The sequence below is a fragment of the Homo sapiens genome, chromosome 16, assembly GCF_000001405.40.
Source record: "Homo sapiens chromosome 16, GRCh38.p14 Primary Assembly".
In the NCBI taxonomy this organism is placed as follows: Eukaryota; Metazoa; Chordata; class Mammalia; order Primates; family Hominidae; genus Homo; species Homo sapiens.
In genome coordinates this window covers 68,778,876-68,803,315 of record NC_000016.10, presented here as the reverse complement: position 1 = coordinate 68,803,315, position 24,440 = coordinate 68,778,876, and the positions used below count along the sequence as shown (strand labels likewise).

General features: G+C 47.0%; 1 protein-coding gene across 4 annotated transcripts in view, besides 21 other annotated features; it reads right to left on the bottom strand.

The window, feature by feature from the left end:
* CDH1 (cadherin 1) overlaps positions 1–24,440 on the bottom strand; it is a 98,246-nt gene that overhangs the window by 32,222 nt on the left and 41,584 nt on the right. For all 4 annotated transcript variants that reach the window (NM_001317185.2, NM_004360.5, NM_001317186.2 and 1 more), the window contains exon 3: positions 1,423–1,646. Coding sequence is in view for 2 of the 4 variants with exons in the window: in NM_004360.5 (NP_004351.1) it covers positions 1,423–1,646 (224 nt within the window). In the remaining 2 variants the exon portion in view is untranslated. The remainder of the gene's footprint in view (positions 1–1,422; positions 1,647–24,440) is intronic.
* Positions 7,110–7,610: an enhancer, noted in NCBI's record as "H3K4me1 hESC enhancer chr16:68829609-68830109 (GRCh37/hg19 assembly coordinates)". NCBI's record gives its function as "activates a minimal SCP1, AML or CMV promoter by ChIP-STARR-seq in primed H9 embryonic stem cells {active_cell/tissue: H9 hESC(primed)}" and the evidence as "EXISTENCE:reporter gene assay evidence [ECO:0000049][PMID:30033119]".
* Positions 7,611–8,111: an enhancer, noted in NCBI's record as "H3K4me1 hESC enhancer chr16:68829108-68829608 (GRCh37/hg19 assembly coordinates)". NCBI's record gives its function as "activates a minimal SCP1, AML or CMV promoter by ChIP-STARR-seq in primed H9 embryonic stem cells {active_cell/tissue: H9 hESC(primed)}" and the evidence as "EXISTENCE:reporter gene assay evidence [ECO:0000049][PMID:30033119]".
* Positions 9,128–9,628: an enhancer, noted in NCBI's record as "H3K27ac hESC enhancer chr16:68827591-68828091 (GRCh37/hg19 assembly coordinates)". NCBI's record gives its function as "activates a minimal SCP1, AML or CMV promoter by ChIP-STARR-seq in naive H9 embryonic stem cells {active_cell/tissue: H9 hESC(naive)}" and the evidence as "EXISTENCE:reporter gene assay evidence [ECO:0000049][PMID:30033119]".
* Positions 11,038–11,182: an enhancer, noted in NCBI's record as "145 bp 16:68826109 sequence used in MPRA reporter constructs". NCBI's record gives its function as "activates a minimal TATA-containing promoter with rs57688464 allelic activity by MPRAs in UACC903 melanoma cells {active_cell/tissue: UACC903}" and the evidence as "EXISTENCE:reporter gene assay evidence [ECO:0000049][PMID:36423637]".
* Position 11,110: a transcriptional cis regulatory region, noted in NCBI's record as "rs57688464 or 16:68826109 MPRA-significant variant associated with a GWAS melanoma risk locus at 16q22.1". NCBI's record gives its function as "allelic transcriptional activity by MPRAs in UACC903 melanoma cells {active_cell/tissue: UACC903}" and the evidence as "EXISTENCE:reporter gene assay evidence [ECO:0000049][PMID:36423637]".
* Positions 11,317–11,886: an enhancer, noted in NCBI's record as "OCT4-NANOG-H3K27ac-H3K4me1 hESC enhancer chr16:68825333-68825902 (GRCh37/hg19 assembly coordinates)". NCBI's record gives its function as "activates a minimal SCP1, AML or CMV promoter by ChIP-STARR-seq in naive and primed H9 embryonic stem cells {active_cell/tissue: H9 hESC(naive and primed)}" and the evidence as "EXISTENCE:reporter gene assay evidence [ECO:0000049][PMID:30033119]".
* Positions 16,429–16,573: an enhancer, noted in NCBI's record as "145 bp 16:68820718 sequence used in MPRA reporter constructs". NCBI's record gives its function as "activates a minimal TATA-containing promoter with rs9928796 allelic activity by MPRAs in UACC903 melanoma cells {active_cell/tissue: UACC903}" and the evidence as "EXISTENCE:reporter gene assay evidence [ECO:0000049][PMID:36423637]".
* Position 16,501: a transcriptional cis regulatory region, noted in NCBI's record as "rs9928796 or 16:68820718 MPRA-significant variant associated with a GWAS melanoma risk locus at 16q22.1". NCBI's record gives its function as "allelic transcriptional activity by MPRAs in UACC903 melanoma cells {active_cell/tissue: UACC903}" and the evidence as "EXISTENCE:reporter gene assay evidence [ECO:0000049][PMID:36423637]".
* Positions 18,437–18,581: an enhancer, noted in NCBI's record as "145 bp 16:68818709 sequence used in MPRA reporter constructs". NCBI's record gives its function as "activates a minimal TATA-containing promoter with rs34946816 allelic activity by MPRAs in C283T melanocytes {active_cell/tissue: C283T}" and the evidence as "EXISTENCE:reporter gene assay evidence [ECO:0000049][PMID:36423637]".
* Positions 18,497–18,509: a transcriptional cis regulatory region, noted in NCBI's record as "rs34946816 or 16:68818709 MPRA-significant variant associated with a GWAS melanoma risk locus at 16q22.1". NCBI's record gives its function as "allelic transcriptional activity by MPRAs in C283T melanocytes {active_cell/tissue: C283T}" and the evidence as "EXISTENCE:reporter gene assay evidence [ECO:0000049][PMID:36423637]".
* Positions 18,902–19,046: an enhancer, noted in NCBI's record as "145 bp 16:68818245 sequence used in MPRA reporter constructs". NCBI's record gives its function as "activates a minimal TATA-containing promoter with rs7199991 allelic activity by MPRAs in UACC903 melanoma cells {active_cell/tissue: UACC903}" and the evidence as "EXISTENCE:reporter gene assay evidence [ECO:0000049][PMID:36423637]".
* Position 18,974: a transcriptional cis regulatory region, noted in NCBI's record as "rs7199991 or 16:68818245 MPRA-significant variant associated with a GWAS melanoma risk locus at 16q22.1". NCBI's record gives its function as "allelic transcriptional activity by MPRAs in UACC903 melanoma cells {active_cell/tissue: UACC903}" and the evidence as "EXISTENCE:reporter gene assay evidence [ECO:0000049][PMID:36423637]".
* Positions 20,352–20,541: an enhancer, noted in NCBI's record as "active region_11032". NCBI's record gives its function as "activates an Ori minimal core promoter by ATAC-STARR-seq in GM12878 lymphoblastoid cells {active_cell/tissue: GM12878}" and the evidence as "EXISTENCE:reporter gene assay evidence [ECO:0000049][PMID:35858748]".
* Positions 20,572–20,691: an enhancer, noted in NCBI's record as "active region_11031". NCBI's record gives its function as "activates an Ori minimal core promoter by ATAC-STARR-seq in GM12878 lymphoblastoid cells {active_cell/tissue: GM12878}" and the evidence as "EXISTENCE:reporter gene assay evidence [ECO:0000049][PMID:35858748]".
* Positions 21,202–21,301: an enhancer, noted in NCBI's record as "active region_11030". NCBI's record gives its function as "activates an Ori minimal core promoter by ATAC-STARR-seq in GM12878 lymphoblastoid cells {active_cell/tissue: GM12878}" and the evidence as "EXISTENCE:reporter gene assay evidence [ECO:0000049][PMID:35858748]".
* Positions 22,147–22,291: an enhancer, noted in NCBI's record as "145 bp 16:68815000 sequence used in MPRA reporter constructs". NCBI's record gives its function as "activates a minimal TATA-containing promoter with rs2113201 allelic activity by MPRAs in C283T melanocytes and UACC903 melanoma cells {active_cell/tissue: C283T | UACC903}" and the evidence as "EXISTENCE:reporter gene assay evidence [ECO:0000049][PMID:36423637]".
* Position 22,219: a transcriptional cis regulatory region, noted in NCBI's record as "rs2113201 or 16:68815000 MPRA-significant variant associated with a GWAS melanoma risk locus at 16q22.1". NCBI's record gives its function as "allelic transcriptional activity by MPRAs in C283T melanocytes and UACC903 melanoma cells {active_cell/tissue: C283T | UACC903}" and the evidence as "EXISTENCE:reporter gene assay evidence [ECO:0000049][PMID:36423637]".
* Positions 22,831–22,975: an enhancer, noted in NCBI's record as "145 bp 16:68814316 sequence used in MPRA reporter constructs". NCBI's record gives its function as "activates a minimal TATA-containing promoter with rs2161664 allelic activity by MPRAs in C283T melanocytes {active_cell/tissue: C283T}" and the evidence as "EXISTENCE:reporter gene assay evidence [ECO:0000049][PMID:36423637]".
* Position 22,903: a transcriptional cis regulatory region, noted in NCBI's record as "rs2161664 or 16:68814316 MPRA-significant variant associated with a GWAS melanoma risk locus at 16q22.1". NCBI's record gives its function as "allelic transcriptional activity by MPRAs in C283T melanocytes {active_cell/tissue: C283T}" and the evidence as "EXISTENCE:reporter gene assay evidence [ECO:0000049][PMID:36423637]".
* Positions 22,977–23,578: an enhancer, noted in NCBI's record as "H3K27ac-H3K4me1 hESC enhancer chr16:68813641-68814242 (GRCh37/hg19 assembly coordinates)". NCBI's record gives its function as "activates a minimal SCP1, AML or CMV promoter by ChIP-STARR-seq in primed H9 embryonic stem cells {active_cell/tissue: H9 hESC(primed)}" and the evidence as "EXISTENCE:reporter gene assay evidence [ECO:0000049][PMID:30033119]".
* Positions 23,579–24,182: an enhancer, noted in NCBI's record as "NANOG-H3K27ac-H3K4me1 hESC enhancer chr16:68813037-68813640 (GRCh37/hg19 assembly coordinates)". NCBI's record gives its function as "activates a minimal SCP1, AML or CMV promoter by ChIP-STARR-seq in primed H9 embryonic stem cells {active_cell/tissue: H9 hESC(primed)}" and the evidence as "EXISTENCE:reporter gene assay evidence [ECO:0000049][PMID:30033119]".

Here is a 24,440-nt window from a genome sequence, read left to right as displayed (position 1 = left end):
CCTTGGAGACTTTGAGTCAAGGAGCTAAGTTAATATGGTCCTATAGTATTAGATTCCTCATTTTTCTGGTCTAATTACACCAGGGAGAAAAATCAGATCGGGAGGACCATTAAGTTCCAAGAATATCAAGAGTCTTCAGCGAGAAAAGAAGATGCCAATCTTACTGGCCCTGGCACTTACAACATATTCCACACGTCCAAAGCAGTAAGCAGGACACAACCAGAATATCCCCCAGAGAGACATTTCGGTAGGAAGCACCACGGGAGCACTTGAGAAACTGGCTTCGAATAACAACCCCTAGAAACATTCCTGCCAAGAACCCAGGCAGACATCCATCCATCCTTCCATTCATGGCCAATTCATCTGTTTGTCTGTTCCTGGTATGGGCCAGACCTAAGGCCAGGCACTGCAAATACAATGGGGAAGGGTCTTGTGGAGGTTATAGTCTAATGGGGTAAGAGCTGCCCACTGGTTCTTCTCCTTCTTCACCAAGGCTCTTCTTACTGGAAGCACAAAAAGCAAAATGATCAGAGAATCCAGCTCTTGGCCAGGCGCAGTGGCTCACTCCTGTAATTCCAGCACTTTGGGAGGCTGAGGCAGGCAGATCATTTGAGGTCAGGAATTCGAGACCAGCCTGGCCAACATGGTGAAACCCTGCCTCTACTAAAAATACAAAAATTAGCCGGGTATGGTGGCGGGCGCCTGTAATCCCAGCTACTCAGGAGGTGGAGGCAGGAGGATCACTTGAACTGGGGAGGTGGAGGTTGCTGTGAGTCACGCCACTGCACTCCAGCCTGAGCCACAGAGTGAGACTACGTCTTAAAAAAAAAAGAGAGAGAGAGAGAAGAATCCAGCTCTCATTCATTCTTCTTCCCCCAAGAGGGGAGTGGTAAAGACAGCTAACAATGACTAAGTATGCCTTGCGTATTTTTAGCATTTCACATGTATTAATTAATTCCATCCTCACTGTTATCTCCATTTTACAGATAAGGAAGCTCAAGCATAGACAGGTGACGTAATTCCTCCAACATTACCCAAGTAGTAAATAGCACGGCTGAGATTCAGTCCCAGACGGTGTTCAGGCCTTTACCACTCTTCTACACTACCCGATCCCCACACCCCAAAAACTCCAGCAAGAATTATTCAGTTAGGCCAAGAGCCCTCAACTTGGGCTGATTTGTCCCCCCAGGGGCCATGGGCAACATGTGGAGATACTTTGGGTTGTCATAACTGGTGGAAGTGCTACTGGTGTCTAACCAGTTAAGGCCAGGGATGCTTGCTAAACATCCTACACAGTGCACAGGACAACCCCTACAACACAAAATCATCCAGCCCAAAATGTCAACGGTACCAAGGCTGAGAAACCTGGATTAGACAGCGCACTAAAACAACAGCGAACTTCTCAGAAAAATGCCAACATACCTGATGGGGCGGGGGGCGGTGGTGGTGCCCCACTGTATTCAGCGTGACTTTGGTGGAAAACTTTCTGTAGGTGGAGTCCCAGGCGTAGACCAAGAAATGGATCTGTGGGTTATGAAACCGTAGAGGCCTTTTGACTGTAATCACACCATCTGTGCCCACTTTGAATCGGGTGTCGAGGGAAAAATAGGCTGTCCTTTGTCGACCGGTGCAATCTTCAAAATTCACTGCAGGGCAGAAATCACAGAGATTAGGAAATTGGACAGATTAAAGACAAGAGCATTCCTTCTCCAAAGAGCGAACTTGTGGGAAGACTCCCACAAAACCAAACACAACCAAAACAAACCATAATCTGGTGACAGAACAACAAAGCTATCACCATAATGTTCTTCACAACTACAGGATGACTTCCTTGTGCTCTGATTTCTTTCTCATCTTCTTGTCAATTGAAAATATTATCTTGTCTAGAAAGTAACTTCTCGACTGGGCACAGTGTCTCATGCCTGTAACCCCAGCATTTTGGGAGGCCAAGGTGGGCAGATCACTTGAGGTCAGGAGCTTGAGACCAGCCTGGCCAACATGATGAAACCCTGTCTCTACTAAAAATACAAAAAAAAATTAGCCAGGTTTAGTGGCAGGCGCCTGTAATTGCAGCCACTTGGGAGGCTGAGGCAGGAGAATCTCTTGAACCTGTAAGGTGGAGGTTGCAGTGAGCTGAGATTGCGCCACTGCACTCCAGCCTGGGCAACAGAGCGAGACTCCATCTCAAAAAATAAATAAATAAAAGTAACTAAAACTTTAAAAAGTATTAATACTCTAAAACTGGAGAAGCTGTGGTTGAAGCATCTACACTATACATTAGAATCTCAAAGGACTCATTCAAATAGGTAACCATCAAGCTATATGCCAGACACTGTGTTGGACTGTGAGGACAAAATCGTGACGAAGATACTTAAGGTTTCTGCTCTCATTGAGTTTACACTACTGAGGAAGAGATGGACAAAGACAGAAACTTAAAATTTCAGGCAGTGGTAATAGGTAAAAAGAAATTAAAATAAAAGAGGGTGATATAAGAGTGGCAGAGGAGAAGGGAGTTTGCTGAAGATGTAACATCTATTGCATGGTGAGGGCAGGCCTTTCTGAGGTAGGCCCATCTGAGCTGGGACCTGAAGGAGCCAGCCTTGCAGAAGCCTGGCTCAAAGAAGCTTCCAGGCAGAGGGGAGCAGTCGATAAGACCATTCATTCTAGGAAACTCTCAGCTTGGCCTGTTTTCCTCCCTTTCAAATAATTGTCCGATGGAATTTCTATTTCATCCAAGTTCTCTTTTATAAAAATTCCTGCCGTCCTATCTTACAAGGCTAGACAGGAGGATCAGGTTTCTGCCAGAAAGCCCTTGAAGCCATCCCTGACGCCTAGGCAGCAGTTTTCATTTCTTCCATCAGGGGCCACCCTTGCAAACATTTCTGAAGCCAATAGCCCTGCCCTTGCCAGAGAAAAATAAGACCACGTTTGGGGGTGAGAGGGGAAGTAACAGATTTTCTCCATTTTGAAGATGAAACTGAGGCTCACAGAGGTTAAGAAATTTACCTGACATCCTGTAACTATTAAATGGCAGAGCTGAGACAGCCCTTTAACATGGGTTAGTCTCATGGTTGGCTCTTCCTCTCTCTGGAGAGACCCTATTAAGGCCTTGGTTTTTTTTTTTTTAAATAATATTTTCATAGAGATGGGATCTTGTTATGTTGCCCAGGCTGGTCTTGAACTCCTGGACTCAACCAGTCTTCCTGCCTCGGCCTTCCAAAGTGCTAGGATGACAGGCATAAGCCAGTGTGCCCAGCCAACCTTGGTTTTTTTTTTTTTTTTAATTATTATTACTATTAATTTTTTTTGAGACAGTCTCGCTCTGTTGCCGAGGCTGGAGTGCAGTGGCACGATCTCGGCTCACTGAAACCTCCGCCTCCTGGGTTCAAGCAATTCTGCCTCAGCCTCCCGAGTAGCTGGGATTACAGGCATGTGCCATCACACCTGAATAATTTATGTAATTTTAGTAGAGACAGGGTTTCACCATGTTGTCCAGGCTGGTCTCAAACTCCTGACCTCAGGTGATCCATCCACCTCGCCTCCCAAAGTGCTGGGATTACATGAATGAGCCACCACACCCGGCCCCAACCTTGGTTATTTTTAAAAGGAAGATTATATTAGTTTATAGATAGATTATACCTATAATCTATCTATTCAAAGCCCTACCCTTTGAGAAGTGACAGTATGAGAGGGAGCCCCAACCTGAATTCCAGGTGCTCATAAGACTCATTATCTCCTCATGCAACCTGATCCCCTGGGCTGATTATAGGAAATTATAGGAAAGATTGAAAGGTTCTCCAGCTCCAGTCTTGATCTCTAAGACTGAGATCAGAGGCTACCCCATGCAATAGCTAGGAGTCTGCTACCTGGCAAATAAACTGAGCAACGAAACCAGGAAGAGCTCGTTCATACGAAGGGAGCTGTGTCATTCAAAGAGTCGCCCACCTGACCCTCCCTCCCAGTTTGTTTAAAAAATAAAAATAAAAAATCACCACCATGCCCCAACCCCTACCTTCTCAGCCCTTAGACTGGGTCTACAACTCACTTCCGCAACTTGAAGGAAAGGATGGGGTGAGCAGGGGGAGCCGTAATAAATGATGGGAAGACAGAGACAAGGAAAAAGGGCTGGACCCAGGGTCTGCGACTGGATTATAAAACCAGATTCTGCCATGTTCTTGCTGGGTGGCCTTAGCAAATTGCTAAACCTCTATGGGCCTTGGCCTTCTCTACTATAACATAAAGGTTATCACCACTGTTTGAGTCTACCTCTTTAGGGTTTTGTGAAGACCAAGACAGTGAATGGGATGACATTTTCTAAGTTAAAAAGCAATGAAAGTAGAAGAGATGACTATTATTCCTGTGTATTTGGGTAGACAAGTGTTTGTTAACTGAACAGCTGAGCCATAAGATGATGAAAGAATCAAGAAGAAATGCCAAGTCCTTAAAGGATGGGCAGATACCATCCTTTTAAGTCTAAAATAGGAATTTCTTTTCAAACTAGCAAAACCAGATGCTCTTCAAAGAGTCCTCCCCCACCCCCAGCAGAAGTAATGGGGCAACTAGGTCATCTTTAGGGGCTTGTCATGTAAACAGGGAATGAAGGCTGCACTGAATTCCTTTCTCCAGCCTTCCCAAATTTAGACAGTGAAAGTTGAGACAAGCATGATTGGACTTGCCAAGGGTGGCGGCCTGAAAAAATGAAAATGGTTTTGCAAATAACTTGATCCAAGGCACTTAACCTGCTTTGGGGCACCTCATCTTAATGGTGGTTAAGCCCTACCCTTTGAGAAGTGACAGTATGACGAGGAGCCCCAACCTGAATTCCAGGTGCTCATAAGACTCATTATCTCCCCATGCAACCTGATCCCCTGGGCTGATTATAGGAAATTGTAGGAAAGATTGAAAGGTTCTTCAGCTCCAGAAAGGCTCTGGGAAGCTCACTGTCACGCTGGCAAGGGCTGGGTTGTCTCTGAGCCCAGCAAGTGGGAGGAAAGAAGAATGGCAAAATGTTGAAACTGGAGGATCAGAATACGGGGACTGGGTATATTTCAACATGCCCATAAAAAAAGCTAACAAAAATAAAGCTAACAAGGGTCTAAGTGTTCTTTAACCCAGTATGCCCACCTTTCATAAACTTATTTGGTGACTTGGTGTAAAAACCAAATCCCAACAAAAGAAGCTAAGACCCCACTCCCCACTACTGGCCATCTCCATGTGGGAAAGTCTTTTTTTTTTTTGAGACAGAGTGTCACTCTGTCACCCAGGCTGGAGTGCAATGGTGCAATCTGGGCTCACTGCAACCTCTGCCTCCCAGATTCAAGCAATTCTCCTGCTTCAGCCTCCCGAGTAGCGGGGATTACAGGTGCACACCACCACGCCCAGCTAATTTTTGTATTTTTAGTAGAGACAAGGTTTCACCATGTTGGCCAGGCTGGTCTCGAACTCCTGACCTCAAGTGATCTGCCCGCCTCTGCCTCCCAAACTGCTGGGATTATAGGTGTGAGCCACTGTGCCCAGCTGGGAAAGTCTTTTCATTACAATATCATCACCATCATCAAAAACTGCAGCCTCAACTAAGCTTCAATTAGCTTTTATGAACTATTTTATTCAGATTTTATTTAATTTTATTTGTGTGCTTTTTGAGACAGGTCTCTGTCACCTAGGGTGGAATGCAGTGGTGCAAACACTGCTCACTGCAGCCTTGGCTTTCGGGGCTCAAGCAATCCTCCTGCTTCAGCCTCCTGAGTAGCTGGGGCTACAGGTACATGCCACCATGCCTGGCTAATTTTATTTATTGTAGAGATGGGGTCTGACTACGTTGCCCAGGCTGCTCACAAACTCCTGGGCTCAAGCCATCTTCCCGCTTTGGCCTCCCAAAGTGCTGGGATTACAGAAGTGAATGACTGAGCCCAGCCTCATTTTAATTTTTTGAGAAAGGGTTTTACTCTGTCACCCAGGCTAAAGTGCAGTGGCACAAACGCTAGCTCACCGCAGCCTCAGCTTCCTGGGCTCAAACCATCCTCCCACCTCATCCTCCAGAGTAGCTGAGACTACAGGTGTACTCCACCGCAGCAAATTTTTAATTATTGTTTGTAGGGACAGGGTCTCGCTATGATGCCAAGCCTGGTCATGAACTTCTGACCTCAGGTGATCCACCTGCCTCAGCCTCCCAAAGTTCTGGGATTACAGGCATGAGCCATCATGCTTGGCCTATTTTATTAGTATTTTAAACATGTGTAGAATATTAATGTGCCATGCTCTATTTTAAGCATGTGCTGCCACACCCAGCTAATTTTTGTATTTTTTGTATTTCAGCAAAAAATGTAATTTTATGTTTACAGGACTAGATGGGGTTTTGCCACGTTGCCCAGGCTGGTCTTGAACTCCTGGCCTCAAGCGATCCACCAACCTCAGCCTCCCAAAGTGCTGGGATTACAGATACAAGTATTGTGCCTGGCCAGGAGGCAGTTTGAAAACAACAACAACATATTTTCCTTATATATCCTTGTATTACTTGGCCTGTTACAATTAGAATGAATTCTTTTTTTTTTCATGACAAAAACTAGTAAGAATGACTTTTAAAAAGTGTTTTTAATACTCTGTCATCCCTGCATGCTGCTATTAAACCTACGGTGCCCCACTTTCTAGCCTACTGGGCAAAAGTAGCTTTCAAGAGAGGACCCCAAGAGAGATGACTGATGTTCAAATACAAATGAAACCCAAGTTCATGAAAAGCTTTTGGTCCTGGGGCAGGCTCTGAGCATTCAGCAACATTCCTTGCTTGAAATTGCCATCATGCCACACGGAACAGTCCCACTTTGACGATCCCGTTTCTTCTCCCACGCCCGCCTGGTCCCATAACTGGAATGTGAGTGGGTAGAAACAAGACAGTCTCAAAAGCTTCTATATTATTTTCAGACGATGTTGGGATTTAAGGACAGGGCCAGCTATGGAAGGCAGCAAACCATAGTTGAGTTGTTTGGTAACCAGTGGGATAACCTAGTATCTTAGACGTAACTAGTTGGAAGCAGTGTTTTGCCCACCCTGCATACAAAGGGGCACATTATGGATTGCCTCCCTCTCATCAGAACACATTTCCCACAGCGAACACCAAAGAATACTGCATTTAGCAATTCTTTTTTTTTTGTTTTTAAAGACAGAGTCTCGCACTGTCACCCGGGCTGGAGTGCCATGGCAGGATCTCAACTCACTGCAACCTCCACCTCCCGGGTTCAAGCCATTCTCCTGCCCCAGCCTCCCGAGTAGCTGGGATTACAGGTGCCTGCCACCACGCCCGGCTAATCTTTTGTATTTTTAGTAGAGACGGGGTTTCACTATGTTGGCCAGGATAACCTCGAACTCCTGACCTTGTGATCCGCCTGCCTTGGCCGCCCAAAGTGCTGGGATTACAGGCATAAGCCACCGCACCCGGCCTGCATTTAGCTTTATTCAAAGACCATTTGAACTTGAGAGCTCAGCCTCAGTTACACATAAAAACTGGAGGACAAGATCAGAGAACTGGCTGGGCATGGTGGCTCATGCCTGTAATCCCAGCACTTTGGGAGGCCGAGCCAGGTGGATCACCTGAGGTCAGGAGTTCAAGACCAGCCTGGTCAACATGGTGAAACCCCGTCTCTACTGAAAATACAAAAAATTAGCCAGGCATGGTGGCGGGCACCTGTAATCCCAGCTACTCAGAAGGCCAGGACAGGAGAATTGCTCGAACACAGGAGGCAGAGGTTGCAGTGAGCAGAGATTGCACCATTGCGCTCCAGTGTAGGTGACAGAGCAAAAAAGACTCCATCTCAAAAACAAACAAACAAACAAAAAAATCAGAGAACTAGCCAGGCATGGTGGCTCATACCTGTAATCTCACCATTTTGCGAAGCCAAGGCAGGAGGATCACTTGAGCCCAGGAGTTTGAGACTAGCCTGGGCAACATAGTAAGACCCCATCTCTTAAAATAAAAATAAAAAAAAAGAAATCTAACTTGATGGATGAAAGGAATCCTGGGGAGACAGCCTCATTCAGCTAGTTAGGCATTTTTCTTTTTGCTGGTTAGGGACAGTGTTTCTAACTCCATCTCCACAGATACTGCTGCCTATAAGATCTCCTTCCAGGCTATTTTCTTAGATGACACTGGGGATTCTGGCATGTGTTCTTTTAATGAGTATTCATGAAATCAGTAACATTACAGGTTTATTGAGCATTCATACTCAGCAGAAAATGTTAATTTTATGTTTACAAATGCAAGACTAGCCTGAGCAACATAGTGAAACCTCATTTTCTACCAAAAAAAGAAAATCTAAAAAGTTAGCCCGGTTGGCCAGGTGCGGTGGCTCACGCCTGTAATCCCAGCACTATGGGAGGCCGAGACGGGTGGATCACAAGGTCAGGAGATCGAGACCATCCTGGCTAACACGGTGAAACCCCGTCTCTACTAAAAATACAAAAAAAAAAAAATAGCTGGGCATGGTGGTGGGCGCCTGTAGTCCCAGCTACTCGGGAGGCTGAGGCAGGAGAATGGTGTGAACCTGGGAGTCGGAGCTTGCAGTGAGCCAAGATCGTGCCACTGCACTCCAGCCTGGGCGACTGAGCGAGACTCCATCTCAAAAAAAAAAAAAAAAAAAGTTAGCCCGGCATGTTGGTGCACCTGTAGTCCTAGATATTAGAGAGGCTGAGGCAGAAGGGTTGCTTGAGCCCAGGAGTTGGAGGCTGCAGTGTGCTATGATTGTACCACCACACTCCACCCTAGGTGACAAAGTAAGACCCCATCTCTAAAATTATAGTAATAAAAATTAAAATAACAAATTTTTAAAAATAAAAATGCAAAGGAAAGAACAATTAGGCCTCCAGTTTGTCCACACTTAGGGCATGTTGAAAAGGACATTCAAGTTCCACCAGGAACACTGACTCTCACTTGATGATAAGTCTCTAATGTTGTGTGTCCATTTGCTACTAAGAGCTAATGGACACGGCCAGGTATGGTGGCTCATGCCTGTAACCCAACACTTCGGGAGGCAGAGGCAAGAGGACTGCTTGTGTCCAGGAGTTTGAGACCACCCTAGGCAATATAGCAAGACCGTGTCTCTATAAAAAACTCAAAAAGTCAAAAATTAGCTGGGAGCAGTGGTGTGTGCCTGTAGTCCCAGCTACTCGGGAGGCTGAGACAAGAGGTTTGCTTGAGCCCAGGAGGTCGAGGCTGCGGTGAGCTGTGATGGCACCACTGCAGTCAGCCTGGGCAACAGAGTGAGACCTTGTATCAAAAAACAAAAACAAAAACAAAACTATGGACAACAACAACAGTCTATGTCCTTATTAGATAGAGCAGTCCTGTGTGGTAGGGATTTTAGCATCCTCCCACTTTTTTTTTTTTTTTTTTTTTGAGACAGAGTCTTGCTCTGTTGCCCACACTGGAGTGCAATGGTGCAATCTCAGTTCACTGCAACTTCTGCCTCCCAGGTTCAAGGGATTCTGCTGCCTCAGCCTCCTGCCTCCCGGGTTCGAGGGATTCTCCTGCCTCAGCCTCCCAAGTAGTTGGGATTACAGGCATGCGCCACCATGCCCAGCTAATTTTGTATTTTTTCACTAGAGACGAGGTTTCACCTCTTGGTCAGGCTGGTCCTAAACTCCTGGCCTCAGGTGATCCATCCGCCTTGGCCTCCCCAAGTGCTGGGATTACAGGTATGAGCCACTGCGCCTGGCCAGCATCCCTTTCCTATAAATGGGGAAACAGAGAAGGAACTTAACCAAGTTCCATAGCTATGAAGTGACGGAAGCTGTAGTCTGATGCTACTTAGCCGCCAGGACTCACCAGGCAGCCTGTCTGTTAGTACTGATGAGCCATTCACAAGCCTGCTAGCTGAATGGATCTGAGAAGTTAGTTCTCACAAAAGAATAGGACAGTTGGAGAGTAACTTGAATGAGAATAACGGCAAAAGCATCATTATACACACTCCCTCTCTTCTTGGATGAAAATTGAGCCTTGGAAATCCAGTTCCAGGCCTCAGAGAAACCTAAGGATATTCCAACAGCCACACTATACTCCAGTTTCAAAAAGGTCTCGCTGTATGTTACCACTTTGCATAAGCTGAAATAAGTCAAAGTTCCTCTAAACTGCCAACGTCAACCACAACATTTTTCCAGGGAAGATAAGCAGGTTGGAGTATCACGTTGCACAAGCATGACTCTTAACGTGCCCACAACATCCATGCAATGTGCTCTCAGGGTGGCAGCTGCGGCTCCTGCACCCCTGTTGACAGGCGACCCCCATGGGTTCCCAGGGACTGGAAGTTTATTTGCATGAAGCTTATCAAGTTCCTTCTAACGTCCCCCAAACATATGTGCCCAGAACAAATTATGTATCGTCTCTGTCTTCACTGAGCTACACCCTGAAAACAGATGTCAACAACGAACGCTGCCTGGATGGGAAGCAGGGAGCAAAGTCCCCTTGGCTTCTGTCCCCATCAAAGCAGACGGGGGTGGAGAGAGAAAACAGTGACATTGAAGATTAAGGAAAAATTAGCCCAGGACCCTTTACCCTTTACTTTCTGAAGTGGGAGAAACAAGGCTAAAGGTGTAAGCCATCGCCCTTGACTTTTTCCCTTTGTTTAAGATTACTCAAGCGACTTGGTCACACTGGCAAAGGGTGTCTTTTTGCTTTCCCAACCATGGTTCTGCTTGGACAAATGCTGTTTCCTTCTCTGACGGCAAACGCCATGGGTGTTGATCAGAACCAGCCCGGGGGGAAGGGTCATGAATGGCGCTTCTGGAATTGATTAAAAGTCAGTGTCGCAGGGCGTACTGGCTCACGCCTATAATCCCAGCCCTTTGGGAGGTGGGTGGAACACTTGAGGTCAGGAGTTCAAGACCAGCCTGGTCCACATGGTGAAACTCTGTCTCTACCAAAAATACAAAAATTAGCCAGGCGTGGTGGCGCATGCCTGTAATCCCAGCTACTCGGGAGGCTGAGGCAGGAGAATTGCTTGAACCTGGGAGGCGGAGGTTGCAGTGAGTCAAGATTGCGCCACTGCCCTCCAGCCTGGGCGACAGAGCAAGACTCCATCTCAAAAAAAAAAAAAAAAGTCAGTGTTTAGGCCGGGTGTGGTGCCTCATGCCTGTAATCACAGCACTTTGGGAGGCTGAGGCAGATGGATCACCTGAGGTCAGGAGTTTGAGACCAGCCTGACCAACATGGTGAAACCCAATCTCTACAAAAATTCAAAATTTAAGCTGGGCATGGTGGTGGGCACCTGTAATCTCAGCCACTTGGGAGAGTAAGGCAGGAGAATTGCTTGAACCTGGGAGGTGGAGGTTGCAGTGAGCTGAGATCACGCCACTGCACTCCAGCCTGGGCAACAGAGAGAGACTCCATCTCAAAAAAATAAACAAACAAAATACATAGGCAGACGTCCCCACCTCCTTTGAGGGATTGCTTCAAGGATTCTTCCTCCAGTAAATCTTTAGCGAGCCCTTACTCTCTTTGTCAAGCATCATCCTAAGGCCTGAGAAATACAGCAATGGACAAAGCAAAGTCCCTGACCTCATGGGGCTTTCATTTCAATGTCAAAGAGATAATTAACAAGTAAATCAATAAGTAATCATGGTGGCTCATGCCTGTAATCCCAGCACTTTGGGAGGCCGAGGTGAGAGGATCACTTGGGCCCAGGAATTCAAGACTAGCCTGAGCAACATGGCAAGACCCCAACTCTACAAAAAATTAAAAATTAGCTGGGTGTGGTGGCGCGTGTCTATAGTCCCAGCTATTTAGGAGGCTGAGGCAGGAGGATCACCTGAGCACAGGAGGTCGAGGCTGCAGTGAGCTGTAACTGTGCCACTGCACTCCAGCCTGGGCGACAGATTGAGATGCTATCTCCAAAAAGAAAGAAAACGAAAAAAAGTATCAGGAATGAAAAGTGTAATAGAGAAATATAAGCAGGTAAGGAATTTCCAAGGGCTTTATGTGACAGGCAGGACAACTCACTAAATAAAGGACATTAGGGAATATTAGGGCATATTAGGGAATAAAGGGAAGTGAAAGAGACTGCCCCAGCTTGGAGCTGTGTGCTGAAGTAAGGGAGAGAGCAGGCGGCAGTGCGGGGGAACAGTTCCAAGGTCTACTCAAAGCCTGCACACCTACTGTGTGCATACCTCCTGCATGGGGGCAGCCTGTTCTAGTACTGAAGATCCAGCCACAATCACAACAGATAACCACTCCTGCCCACCCGGGGGCCAACATTCAAGTGGAATTAACATGATTTTAGCACAGGCCTATGAGAAAGGTTAGCTCTTGCTCCTGCGGGCCAGATTGCCTCATTGCCTCCCCATACCCCATACCCTTCTTGACAACAAGGCCAGAAGGGAACTTAGTTTTAAATCATTTTTCTTTCCAGGCCTCTCCCAGAGAGGACAGCAACAGCCAGTGTGCCCATTGATTAACAGCCTCACTCAGTTTCATCTCAATATTCCTGCCTGGATTGGTATCTGCTGCCTTGACTGGAGAAGCTGGGGTTGCTTCTCTGCTCAAGTCAAAACCAACTGCTTGGTTTCAATTTTCCAGAGTCAACACCAACTGGCAAGGAATCTCATCTCAATTTGTTTTCAAGAAGAGGGGAGAAAAACAACTCATCTCCATTCTAGCAAGGAGTTGGCAGCGACATTAGGCCTCCTGCAGAGGCGGAGGCTGGAGGGGGACTGCTTCCCCACCTGTCTTAGGGAGGGAAATGCGTTTGATTTTCTCAAAAAGAATAAGGAGAATGGGGAGGCCCTCTGGGTTCACAGCAAATTGGAGGGGCTTTCTTGTCCCAGCTGTGGCTGCATGCGTAACAACACAGCCTGTCTGCCGAAACAGAGGCCGTAACTGATCATTTTCATGGACTGCAACCCAGGAAACATTCCTGTGGTCAGGTTGGGCAACTCTAGGAACTGTTTGCTTACTGATTAAAAAGAAAATCATCACATTTTCTTCCTCCTTTTTCTTTCTGTTGGATTCCCCGAGGTTAGGGAGACCCCATGTACTGAATTCCAAAGCTACTAAATCCCTCCTCCTCTCTCTCCCTGATGCCCCGTGCAGGAAAGGGCAGCTGACAGGCCTGAGATGTGGGAGAACAAGTCCTGGGCCCTCACAGACATTGGTAAGGCTTACATTCCGACTGGTGAAATAAAGCATGCACCAAAATGCCTCCTAACATCATTTCCATTCAGGGTCTAATGTGCTGCACAGAGACTTTCCTGGGTTTTTTGTTTTTGTTTTTGTTTTTGAGATGGAGTTTTGCTCTTGTTGCCCAGGCTGGAGTGCAATGGTGTGATCTTGGCTCACGGCAACCTCTGCCTCCCGGGTTCAAGTGATTCTCCTGCCTCAGCCTCCCGAGTAGATGGGATTACAGGCATGCGCCACCATGCCCGGTTAATTTTGTAGTTTTAGAGATGGGGTTTCTCCATGTTGGTCGGGCAGGTCTCGAACTCCCAACATCATGTGATCCGCCCGCCTCAGCCTCCCAAAGTGCTGGGATTACAGGCATGAGCCACCGGGCCCAGCCTCCTGGGGCACTTTTTAAAAATACTCAGCCAGGGCCCCTGCCTCAGACTAACTGAATCCAGATGTCCAGGGCTGGGGCAGTAGCAACTAAGGAGTGAGGGATTTCTTCTGGAGGTGATGAAAATGTTATGAAATTGATTGTGGTGACGCTTGCTTAAGTCTGTGACTATAAGGGAAACTGTTAAATTCTACACTTTAAATGGTGTAATATATGCTATGTGGATTATGTTTCGATAAAGCTGTTACAAAAAAAAAAAAAAGATGAGCCAATCGCACAAAGTATTCACAAGCCCATCCTTGCAGAGAGACCACTGCTAACACCTGATATGTGTCCTTCAGATCCTGGTCTATATCCCTTTCCTAATTCATTTACTCCCTTGTCCTGCATCCCTTTACATCCTGTTCTCCAAAATTAGGTTCTGGACATTATTCTATTTTTAAACACCTGGCCAGGTGCGGTGGCTCACACCTATAATCCCAGCACTTTGGGGAGGCTGAAGTGGGCGGATCACTTGAGTCCAAGTCCCGTCAAGACCAGCCTGGGCAACATGGGGAGAGCCCATCTCTACAAAAAATACAAAAAAAAATTAGCTGGGCATGGTGGCATGCACCTGTAGTCCCCATTATTTGGGAGGGCTGAGGTAGGAGGATCACTTGAGCTGGGGACGTCAAGGCTGCAGAGAATCATGTTCGGGCCACTGCACTCCAGCTTGGGTGACACAGTGAGAACGGATCTTCCTGTCCAACTTTCTTTTATTTATTCATTCATTTTTTGAGACAGAGTCTTGCTCTGTCACCCAGGCTGGAGTGCAGTGGCATGACCTCAGATTACCGCAACCTCCGCCTCCTGCGTTCAAGTGACTCTCCTGCCTCAGCCTCCCAAGCAGCTGGGATTACAGGTGCCCGCCACCATACCCAGCTAATTTTTGTTTTTTGTTTTTTTTAGGAGAGATGGGGTTTCTCCATGTTGGTCAGGCTGGTCTTGAACTCCTGATCTTGTGATCCACCCGTCTCGGCCTCCAAAAGTGTTGAGATTACAGGCGTGAGCCACCATGCCCAGCCCCAACTTTCTTCTTATTTCACATTTACCCATTTAAAAAAATGTGTAAATGTGGCTTATATACAGTCAACCCAAAAAGTAATTAGGATGGGTAAAATATGGTATAGCTACTCAGCAATAAAAAGGATCAAACATCACAAAACGCAGTAGCATAGATGAACCTTAAAAGCATTACACCGAGTGAAAGAAGCTGTTCACCAAAGTACACAGTTCATATGAAAAATCTAGAAAACTAGAGACAAAAAGCAGATCAAGGGTTGTCTGGAGCTGAGTTAGGCTTGACTACCAATAGGCCCAAGGGAACTTGGGAGGTGGTGGAAGTATTCTAAAACTGGATTGTGATGACAGCTCAACAGCTGTGTACGTTTATAAAAATTATCTAACTGTACACTTACAGTGGGTAAATTGTGTGGTATGTAAATTAAATCTCAATGAACCAGTAAGAAATATATAGCTATTAGGGTCTCTTGAGGAATACCCCATCAGTCAAAGTCCTATGGTTCAAAAATGAAAGAATCCAGGCACCCAAAAATGCCAAGGTTATGAAAAAGTGCAGAGAAGAGAAGCCATAAACAATTCTTAATTAACAGTAGGCTGGGTGCGGTGGCTCACACCTGTAATCCCAGCACTTTGGGAGGCCAAGGAGGGCGAATCACTTGAGGTCAGGAGTTTAAGACAGGCCTGGCCAACATGGTGAAACCTCGTCTCTACTAAAAATACAAAAAATTAGCGGGGCGTGGTGGCACATGCCTATAATCCCAGCTATTCAGGAGGCTGAGGCAGGAGAATTGCTTGAACCCAGGAGGCGGAGGTTGCGGTGAGCCAAGATCATGCCATTGTACTCCAGCCTGGGCAACAAGAGTGAAACTGTCTCAAAAAAAAAAAAAAAAAAATTAGCCGGGCGTGGTGGTGGGTGTCTATAATCCCAGCTACTTGGGAGGCTGAAGTGGGAGAACTGCTTGAACCCAGGAGGCAGAGGTTGCAGTGAGCTGAGATTGCACCATTGCACTCCAGCCTGGATGATAAAGCAAGACTCTATCTCCAAAAAACAAAACAAAACAAAACAATAGTTATAGGCTGGGCATGGTGGTTCACACCTGTAATCCCAGCACTTTGGGAGGCTGAGGTGGGAGGATCACTTGAGGCCAGGAGTTTGAGACCAGCCTGGGCAACATAGTAGGATCCCATCTCTATTTAAAAAAAAAAAAAATCAACAACTAAAAACTGAAAACAAAAAATCTTTTTGAGAGTAAATATTCACTATGACAGTCATTACGTGTGGGCACTGTGAACTTTACATTGACTCCTATGTTGCTGTGAGGCAGGTAGGGGTTTTTAACCCCCTTAATGCTGATGAGCAACTGAGGCGAAAGGCTTAAGTCATTTGCTCAAGGTCAGGGCCTTGTCAAGGTCACAGAGCAGGTCAGCCTCTGAAGGAACATTCGCCCCAGAACCAGCCAGCACCAAAGCTTCTGTTCTTCAGCACTAGGCTTGCGGAGGGAGAGAAATTCCAGGGGTAGTTAACAGCAATGTGGGATGGGTAAAAGTAACCACAGATTTATTCTCTATAAAAAACACAACCCAGATATAAACACGCATCAATCTAGGGCCACATTTTCCAAGCACTGGCTGACACCAAAATGTGCTGAATCTGGCTGCAAAAACACAGGAAAGCCGTTGTGGAATTCAGAACCTTTGAATCATTCAATAACTCAAGAACAAGATCTGGAAACCTTCTACAAAGAATGAATGTGAGGCTTGCACTACTTTCAAATGTGGGCTGTGCTGGAAAGGCTCGGACCCTCTGCCTCTGACCTTTGGAACAAAACTCAAACAGCCCAAGAGAACAGCTGGGAGCCAACACTGCGAAGTGAGGCATTTCCCACAGTCTCCAGGTCACATGTGCTTGCAGATGACTGTACAACAAGTGCTCACTTGTCCAATAGAGCTCACAAGAGGATGCCTTTTCTCTTTTAATGGATGCTAGCATCATTTTTCATTATCAAGAACAAATAAGCATTGATGGGAAAGGCAGCTGCTTCCAAGAGCATTTGCTGAATCTACTCTGGCTGCCTGGAAAGGTAACTGCTCAGACTATATGTGTGCCTTGGCTCAGGCTCCTGAGAAATGAAGCCTACAACCCATGCTGCATCCTCCTGAATACCAAAAAAAAAAAAAAAAAAAGAAAAAAAAAAAAAGAAAGCAGAAAGATCTCAGACTGGGGGGCTCACTTCAAGAATTCCAAGTAGGGTCAGGTGCAGGCTCAACCCTGTAATCCCCGCACTTTGGGAGGCCAAGGCATGTGGATCGCCAGAGATCAGGGGTTCGAGACCAGCCTGACCATCATGGTGAAACCCTGTCTCTACTAAAAATACAAAAACAAGCCAGGCATGGTGGCGGGCACCTGTAATCCCAGCTACTTGGGAGGCTGAGGCAGGAGAATCGCTTGAACCCAGGATGAAGAGGTTGCAGTGAGCCAATATCGCATCACTGCACTCCGGCCTGGGCGACAGAGCAAGACTCTGTCTCAAATTTGAAAAAAAAAGAATTCCAAGTAGGCAAAAATAATAAGAAAAGAAAAGAGCATGAAGAAGAGTGACCCACAGGTGCCAGAATCTGACTCTGGCATACACTGGAGAACAGCCACAGGTCACTCACAAGATGCTGTGGTACTGTTGCTACCACCACAAGGAGATGGGGCACCTGTTCCAGCAGTGGTTCTCCAGCCTTTTATTTTCCTGGTTGCTGCTCTTGCAGAAATGCTCCATGGGCCATTTACCTGGACTGTTCCCATTTTCCGATGTGAAACTGGAAAGCTTGCACACAAAAATGACGTATGTAAAAGGTTATTCACTAAGGCATTGTTTGTGCTAGCAAAACATGGGCGACAGCCCAAATAGCCATCAATAGAGGATTAGTTTAAATCAATTATAGAATTTCCTTACAATGAAATACTATGAACCTATTAAAAAAAAAAAAGCTCTTTATGCTCTGCAGGGGAATGATCGTCAAGACACATTATTGTTTGCTGATAAAAGCAAGTGCAAAGCAGTGCTATCTTTTGTGTAACTAAAAAGAAGGGGATAAGAAATAAGTTTATCCCTGTAATCCCAGCATTTTGGGAGGCTGAGGTGGGAGGATCACTTAAACCCAGGAGTTTGAGTCTGCAGTGAGCCACGACTGCACAACAGCACTCCAGCCTGAGCCACAGAACAAGACTCTGTCTTGGTCAGGCATAGTGGCTCACGCCTATAATCCCAGCACTTTGGGAAGCTGAGGTGGGTGGATCGCTTGAGGTCAGGAGTTGGAGACCAGCCTGGCCAACATGGTAAAACCGTGTCTCTACTAAAAATACAAAACTTAGCTGGGCATGGTAGTGCATGCCTGTAGTCTCAGCTTCTTGGGAGGCTGAGGGAGGAGAATCGCTTGATTCTGGGAGGCAGAGGTTGCAGTGAGCCGAGATCGCGCCACTGTACTCCAGCCTGGGCAACAGAGCAAGACTCCATCTCAAAGAAAAAAAGAACAAGACTCTGTCTCAAAGAATATATGTTCATATTTGTTTATAGTTACATATAGAACTTTAAAAGACACTAACAAGTGAGATTTTAGGTATGGGGGAGGCACCTTATTAGAACAAAGGGAGACAGGGTGGGAGTAGAACTTTTCATTGTATACTTTTTAGATTATTTTTTTTTCAATGGTGTCCATGTGAACATATAACCTATTCATAAAGTTAAAAATAATCCCTTCTTGCAATCACAGTGCAAAAGGCATGAGGGTGAAAGTCATCTGCTAAAATGACCGAACAGGAGGGTAGGAGGGGCCTGCTCCCGCCTCACCCTCCTGAGAAACTGGGATTAGAGACAGGAAACACTGGACCTAGGAACTTATAAGCTGTTAAAAAAAAAAAAAGAATGGAACTGGAGATTAGTATTCTAAGTGAAGTAACTCAGGAATGGAAAACCAAATATTGTATGTTCTCACTCATAAGTGGGAGCTAAGCTATGAGGATCCAAAGGCATAAAAAGATACAATGGACTTTGGGGACTTTGGGGGAAAGGGTGGGAAGGGGGTGAGGGATAAAAGACTACACAGTGTACACAGGTACAGTGTACACTGCTCCAATCATGGGTGCACCAAAATCTCAGAAATCACCACTAAAGAACTTGTTCACATAACCAACACCATGCAGGATGCAGGAGACCAGAGGGAGGGGTCCATGTGGGCGGTGGAAAGGAGGATGACCCACACATGATGGGAGAGGGAAGGGGGTGCTGCCGGCGGATGCTGGTCAGCTGGTCTAGCAAAAAAAAAATGCTGGATGTCAGTTGACCAGAGTCAGATGACCAGATTCTCTCTGGAGAATGTCAGGCAAGACCCCTGCATTTTTTCTGGGTTCGTTTTATCATCTGTAATGCACAGAGGCGGAACTGTACCAGCAAAGATGTGGGGCTCCAAGGCCTTGGACATCATGGCAAGTAGGAATCAGTATGGCTTTTTAAGAGAACATTCTGATCATGTTTATAGATTTTACATGCATAAATCCTTTCTTTCAGCAAAGCCCATTTTTAGGACTTCATCTCACAGAGGGACTCACACATTGCATCAGGGCAGATATACGGAGGGCCACTACAATCTTGTTTATGGTGGCAAAAGATAGACACATCATTGACAGAGGGCTGGATAAATCAATGATGGGCATCCACTCAATGGAAAATGATGCAAAAATTAAAAATCATGAAGGGCTGGGCACGGTGGCTCATGCCTAAATCCCAGCACTTTGGGAGGCCGAGGTGGGTAGATTGCTTGAGGTCAGGAGTTCAGGACCAGCCTGGCCAACATGGTGAAACTCCATCTCTACTAAAAATACAAAAATTAGCCAGGCGTGGTGGTAGGTGCCTGTAGTCCCAGCTACAAGGGAGGCTGAGGCTTGAGAATTGCTTGAACCCGGGAGGTGAGGGTTGCAGTGAGTCCAGATCATGCCACTACACTCCAGCCTGGGTGACAGAGCGAGACTCTATCTCAAAAAAAATAAATAAAATAAAAAGAATGAGGGAGCTGTTTAAAAAAGAATCAAGTAAGTGTATATGTAATAATATGGGAAGAATCTGTCTTTAAAGAGCACACAGCTAAATGGGATAGGGAATAGGCTTAGAATATCTTCAGAAGGAAACAAGAAATCGGTAACACTGCTTGTCTCAGATGAACTGCTGACAGGCAGACACTTTTAGGCTCTTAGGTACCATTTAAATTGGCTTGTGTTTGTTTTCCTATGTTCACATAAACAAACTTTTTTTTCTTTTTTTCTTTTTTCTTTTTTTTTTTTTTTTGAGATACTCTGTCACCTAGGCTGGAGTGCAGTGGCATCATCTTAGCTCACTGCAACCTTCACCTCCTGGGTTCAAGCGATTCTCGTGCCTCAGCCTCCTGAGTAGCTGGGATTACAGGCATGTGCCACCATGCCTGGCTAATTTTTGTATTTTTAGTAGAGACGGGGTTTCGCCATGTTACCCAGGCTGGTCTCGAACTCCTGAGCTCAGGATATCTGCCTGCCTCGGCCTCCCAAAGTGCCAGGATTACAGGAGTGAGCCACCACTCCCGGCCCTTTTTCTTTTCTTTAATGAGAGGGTTGAACCAAAGGAGGGATGGGTGTTCAGTTGACCGTAATCTCAATAGGCAACATGTGATGTGGCTTCCAAAACCAGATTTCAGTTGTGTTTTCAGAAATGAGACACTTAGGATATGGGAGACTATATAGTCCTTCTCTGATTCTATTTGTGGTTTGATAAGTACATTCTCAGGGTTGCAATCTGATGACCTCAATGATAAGTGCTGTTTTTTTTCCAAGAGTCATGCTCTAAGAGGAACACTGACCCATGGAGCTGGTCCAGGGACGGAGGGGCAAGGATGGGAAGGAACCCTGTGTGGGGTGAGGGGCAGGAAACGGGCTCACTGTCAACAATTCTAGGGCTGACTCCTTTGCGAAGGATCGGTCACAATGGCACCAGAGGGTAAGATGTGGGCCAGCGGAGAGAAGAAAGAACAAGATAATCTGACCCTACACAGAACTAGGCTGTAGCCTCCTGAACGCCCCCTCAAAGCACAGGTGGCTTTACCAGGTGCTGCCTCATAGAGCACTAACGGTCAGCGCTTAGGCCTGGAGTCTAGATAGATGTGGACTTGAATGCAAACTGTGCCTCTGACTAGCTGTGTTAACTTCAGGAAAGTTAAACGCTTGAGTCTTAGTTTCCTCTTCAACTACAGAGTGGCCCCCACCTGTCACAGTTGGTGGGAACATTTGAAGAGTTTGTATGTGGTAAGCTGCCGCTCCTGTTCTGCCACAGATGGCTTTTGCAGAACTCGAAACTTCTGCAACTGCCTCTGAGGTCACCCTAAGGAGAGGCAGTGCCCCCAAGGTGGGTGTGCAGGTTCCTGGGACAGGGCAACATCCCCAGGGCCTTCCCTGTAGGGTCAAATCCTGAGGGTGTGGACTGCCTCCCTGTGGCCCCCGTCCACGCCCTCAGGATTGGCCACTCCTGCCTTTGGGTGTGGTGGTCCCTTGCCTGTGGGGGGTGCCTGTGGAGCCAGAAGGAAGCCCTGAACTTGAGAAAGTCAATCCTTTTCCACCCCTCTTGATCAAAGATTTGATACCATGGGGAACAGCAGCTGCCCACACCAACCACTCCCTTCTCAGGCCATCTGGAAACATCTCTGTGGCCATGAAAGGAGTTTCCTGGGCTGCGGTTTTGTTTTTCTGACCCCCTCCTTGAGGCCTTAGCAGTGAGTGCCTAGGATTTGAGCCAAGGTTTGGGCTAGTGAAGGGCATCAAGGAAGGCATGGGCCCCCTGGAACTGTGGGTTAAGATATGGGCACCTGTGGGAGGCTCTGTGGTCTTCAACAGTCTCTCAAAGAGTCTCAGATCCCAAAGGGATTAAAGATATACTGAGGGGGCCCGGCATGATTGCTCAGGCCTGTAATCCCAGCAGTTTGGCTAAGGCAGGGAGATCACTCGAGTCCAGGAGTTTGAGATCAGCCTGGGCAACATAGTGAGACCCTGTCAATAAAGAAAATTAAAAAATTGGCCGGGCATGGTGTTGCATGCCTGTTATCCCCGCACTTTGGGAGGCCAAGGGGGATGGATTGCTTGAGCTCAGGAGTTCGACACCAACCTGGGCAACATGGCAAGACCCCATCTCTAAAAAAAGAAAAAATTAGCCAGGTGTAGTGGCATGCTCCTGTAGTCCCAATTACTGGGCAGGCTGAGGTGGAGTTAATTGCTTGAGCCCAGGAGGTCAAGGCTGCAACTAGCCGTGATCACACCATTGCACACCAGCCTGGATGACAGAGTGAGACCCTAACTCTAAAAAGGAAGGAAAAAGTAAAAGACATACTGAGGGGTTAAAATGAGTGCTGCGGGTGTGTGGAGGAGGGTGGAGAATGAAGCGGAGGCAACTGAGGCCACAATGCCTAATTGTTTCCAATACCCCCACCCTCAACTCAAACCCTCTGACCTGCAGATAAATAATGTCAGGCCTCCTGTGTGAGTGCTTTGAGTGCTGCGAATTACAAAATACAAAGCACAGCTGAGGAGTGGGGACAGGGTGGTCAAAAGGTGAGAGGAGAACATGGAGACAGAACGGCTTGTCAGCCGACACTTTTTTCCCCACAGACTCAATTCATCTCTGGACTCCTGGACCATTGCAGTAGCTCCTTAATCTTCCCAATTCTGGCCCAGGTTGCTACGGCGTCTTCTCTACACAGTAGCCGCATTGAGCTTGCTACAACCTCGGTCAGGCCATGACAAGCCTCTGCTCTATGCAGAGCCCTCCAGAGACTCACTTTTCCCAGAATAAAAGCCCAGCTCTCTACAGTGAGGCCTCAGCTACTTCTGACTTTGTCACCAACTACCCTCATGTCACTTGCTCTGCTCAGCCAACACCCTGGAGGTAACTGTGGGCATGAAATCACGAGAATGAGGTGCAGTACTAGCCAGCTTTGAAGACGCATGAAGTTATGGGAGCGCCACTCCTGATTCATCAGCACTGTTCTCCTGGGGTTGACTCCAAGGCCCTTTAGCCAAAAACATACAATAAGGTAGTAAACGCTGTAGAGAAAACAATAGAACAGGTGCTGGGCATGGTGGCCGAAGCCCGTAATCCCAAGCACTTTGGGAGGTCGAGATGGGTAGATCACTTGAAATCAGCCTGGCCAACATGGCGAAACCCTATCTCTACTAAAAATACAAAAATTAGCCAGGTGTGGTGGTGCACACCTGTAATCCCAGCTACTTGGGAGGCTGAGGCAGGAGAGAATCACTTGAACCCAGGAGGTACAGGTTGCAGTGAGCCAAAATCATGCCACTGCACTCCAACCTGGGTGACAAAGGGAGACTCTGTCTCAAAATAAATAAACAAAAAATAATAAAATAAAATAAACAGGGAGGAAGGATAAGGAGGGAGTGCTGGAGGCAGTGGTGTGCCATGTCAAAGGCAATGAAGGTGACTTAGAGCAAAGGCAGTTTTAGCTGAGACCTAAGACTTGCTGGAAGGGAGGGAAGGAGGGAGGAAGGGAGCCACACGGTCCCCTTTGGAAGGACATTTCAGGCAGAGGGAAAAGCAAACACAACTTGGTTGGAAGCCAATCCAGGGTGGTGGCTGAGTAGAGCGAGTGACACAAGGGTAGTCAGTGACAAAGTCAGACGTAGCTGGAGCCTCATTGTAGAGAGCCGGGCTTTTATTCTGGGAGAAGTAAGGAGTGTCTTGGAGTTATCTGCAGATGAGAGGGTTTCAGCTGGGGATGGGGGGATTGGAAACAGCCAGACACTGTGGCCTCAGTTGCCTCCCTTTCATTCTCCAGCCTCCCTCCAACACCCCCAGCACTCATCTGTTGCCAGGCTGGAGTGCAGTGGTGTGATCTTGGCTCACTGTCACCTCCACCTCCCAGGTTCACGCAATTCTTCTCAGCCTCCCGAGTAGCTGGGACTACAGGCATGTGCCACCATGCCCAATTAATTTTTGTATTTTTAGTAGAGACGAGGTTTCATCATGTTGGCCAGGATGGTCTCGATCTCTTGACTTTGTGATCCTCCTGCCTGCTCGGCCTCCCAAAGTGCTGGGATTACAGGTGTGAGCCATCGTGCCCGGCCAACCCCTCAGTTACTGACCCTATCAGAAGCACCATGCAGAATTGCAGTTAATCTTCACAACAGCCTAGAAGGTAGGTACCGTGTTACTCCCATTTCACAGGTGAATAAAGCAATACTCACAGTGGTAAGGGATTTGCCCAAGGCCACGTAGCTATAACAGCACACAGCAGAGCTGGGAATTGAACTCAGGCCTGCCGGACCCCAAAGCCCATCACCTTAACTTCCACCTAGCCCTGCCTCCCTGGAGGATGTGCCTCTTTGCCCCTCTGTGCAGGGAGTAAAGAGGCAGAGAGAGGCAAAGTCACCAAAGGAGGGTGGCAGCTTACAGATGGGAGCAGTTTTCCCAGGACAAGCCACTGGGGCATCTCAGTCAAGCCCGCACTGCAGGTGGAAGGCTAAAAGTGCTGATGAGGCAGGCGGTGTTGATGTCTGACCAGGCCCATTTAGAGCAGGCCTTCAGGGATTTCAGCAGCACAGGAACTGGCTCTGAGCACTGTAAATAAGTTGACTCAACACCTTGGCAGGTGATAGGGCTTTTTGGCCCTGACAAAACCTGAAAGGCCACCTGGCTGTTCCCAAAGGCCTTAATTTGCTTAAATAATGGCAAAACCTCTGGTGTGAATTCCCAGAGAACTTCCTGCCTTCTGACATGAGAGGGCACACACCAAGGGAGCCAGGAAGAGAAAAACCTCTCTCCC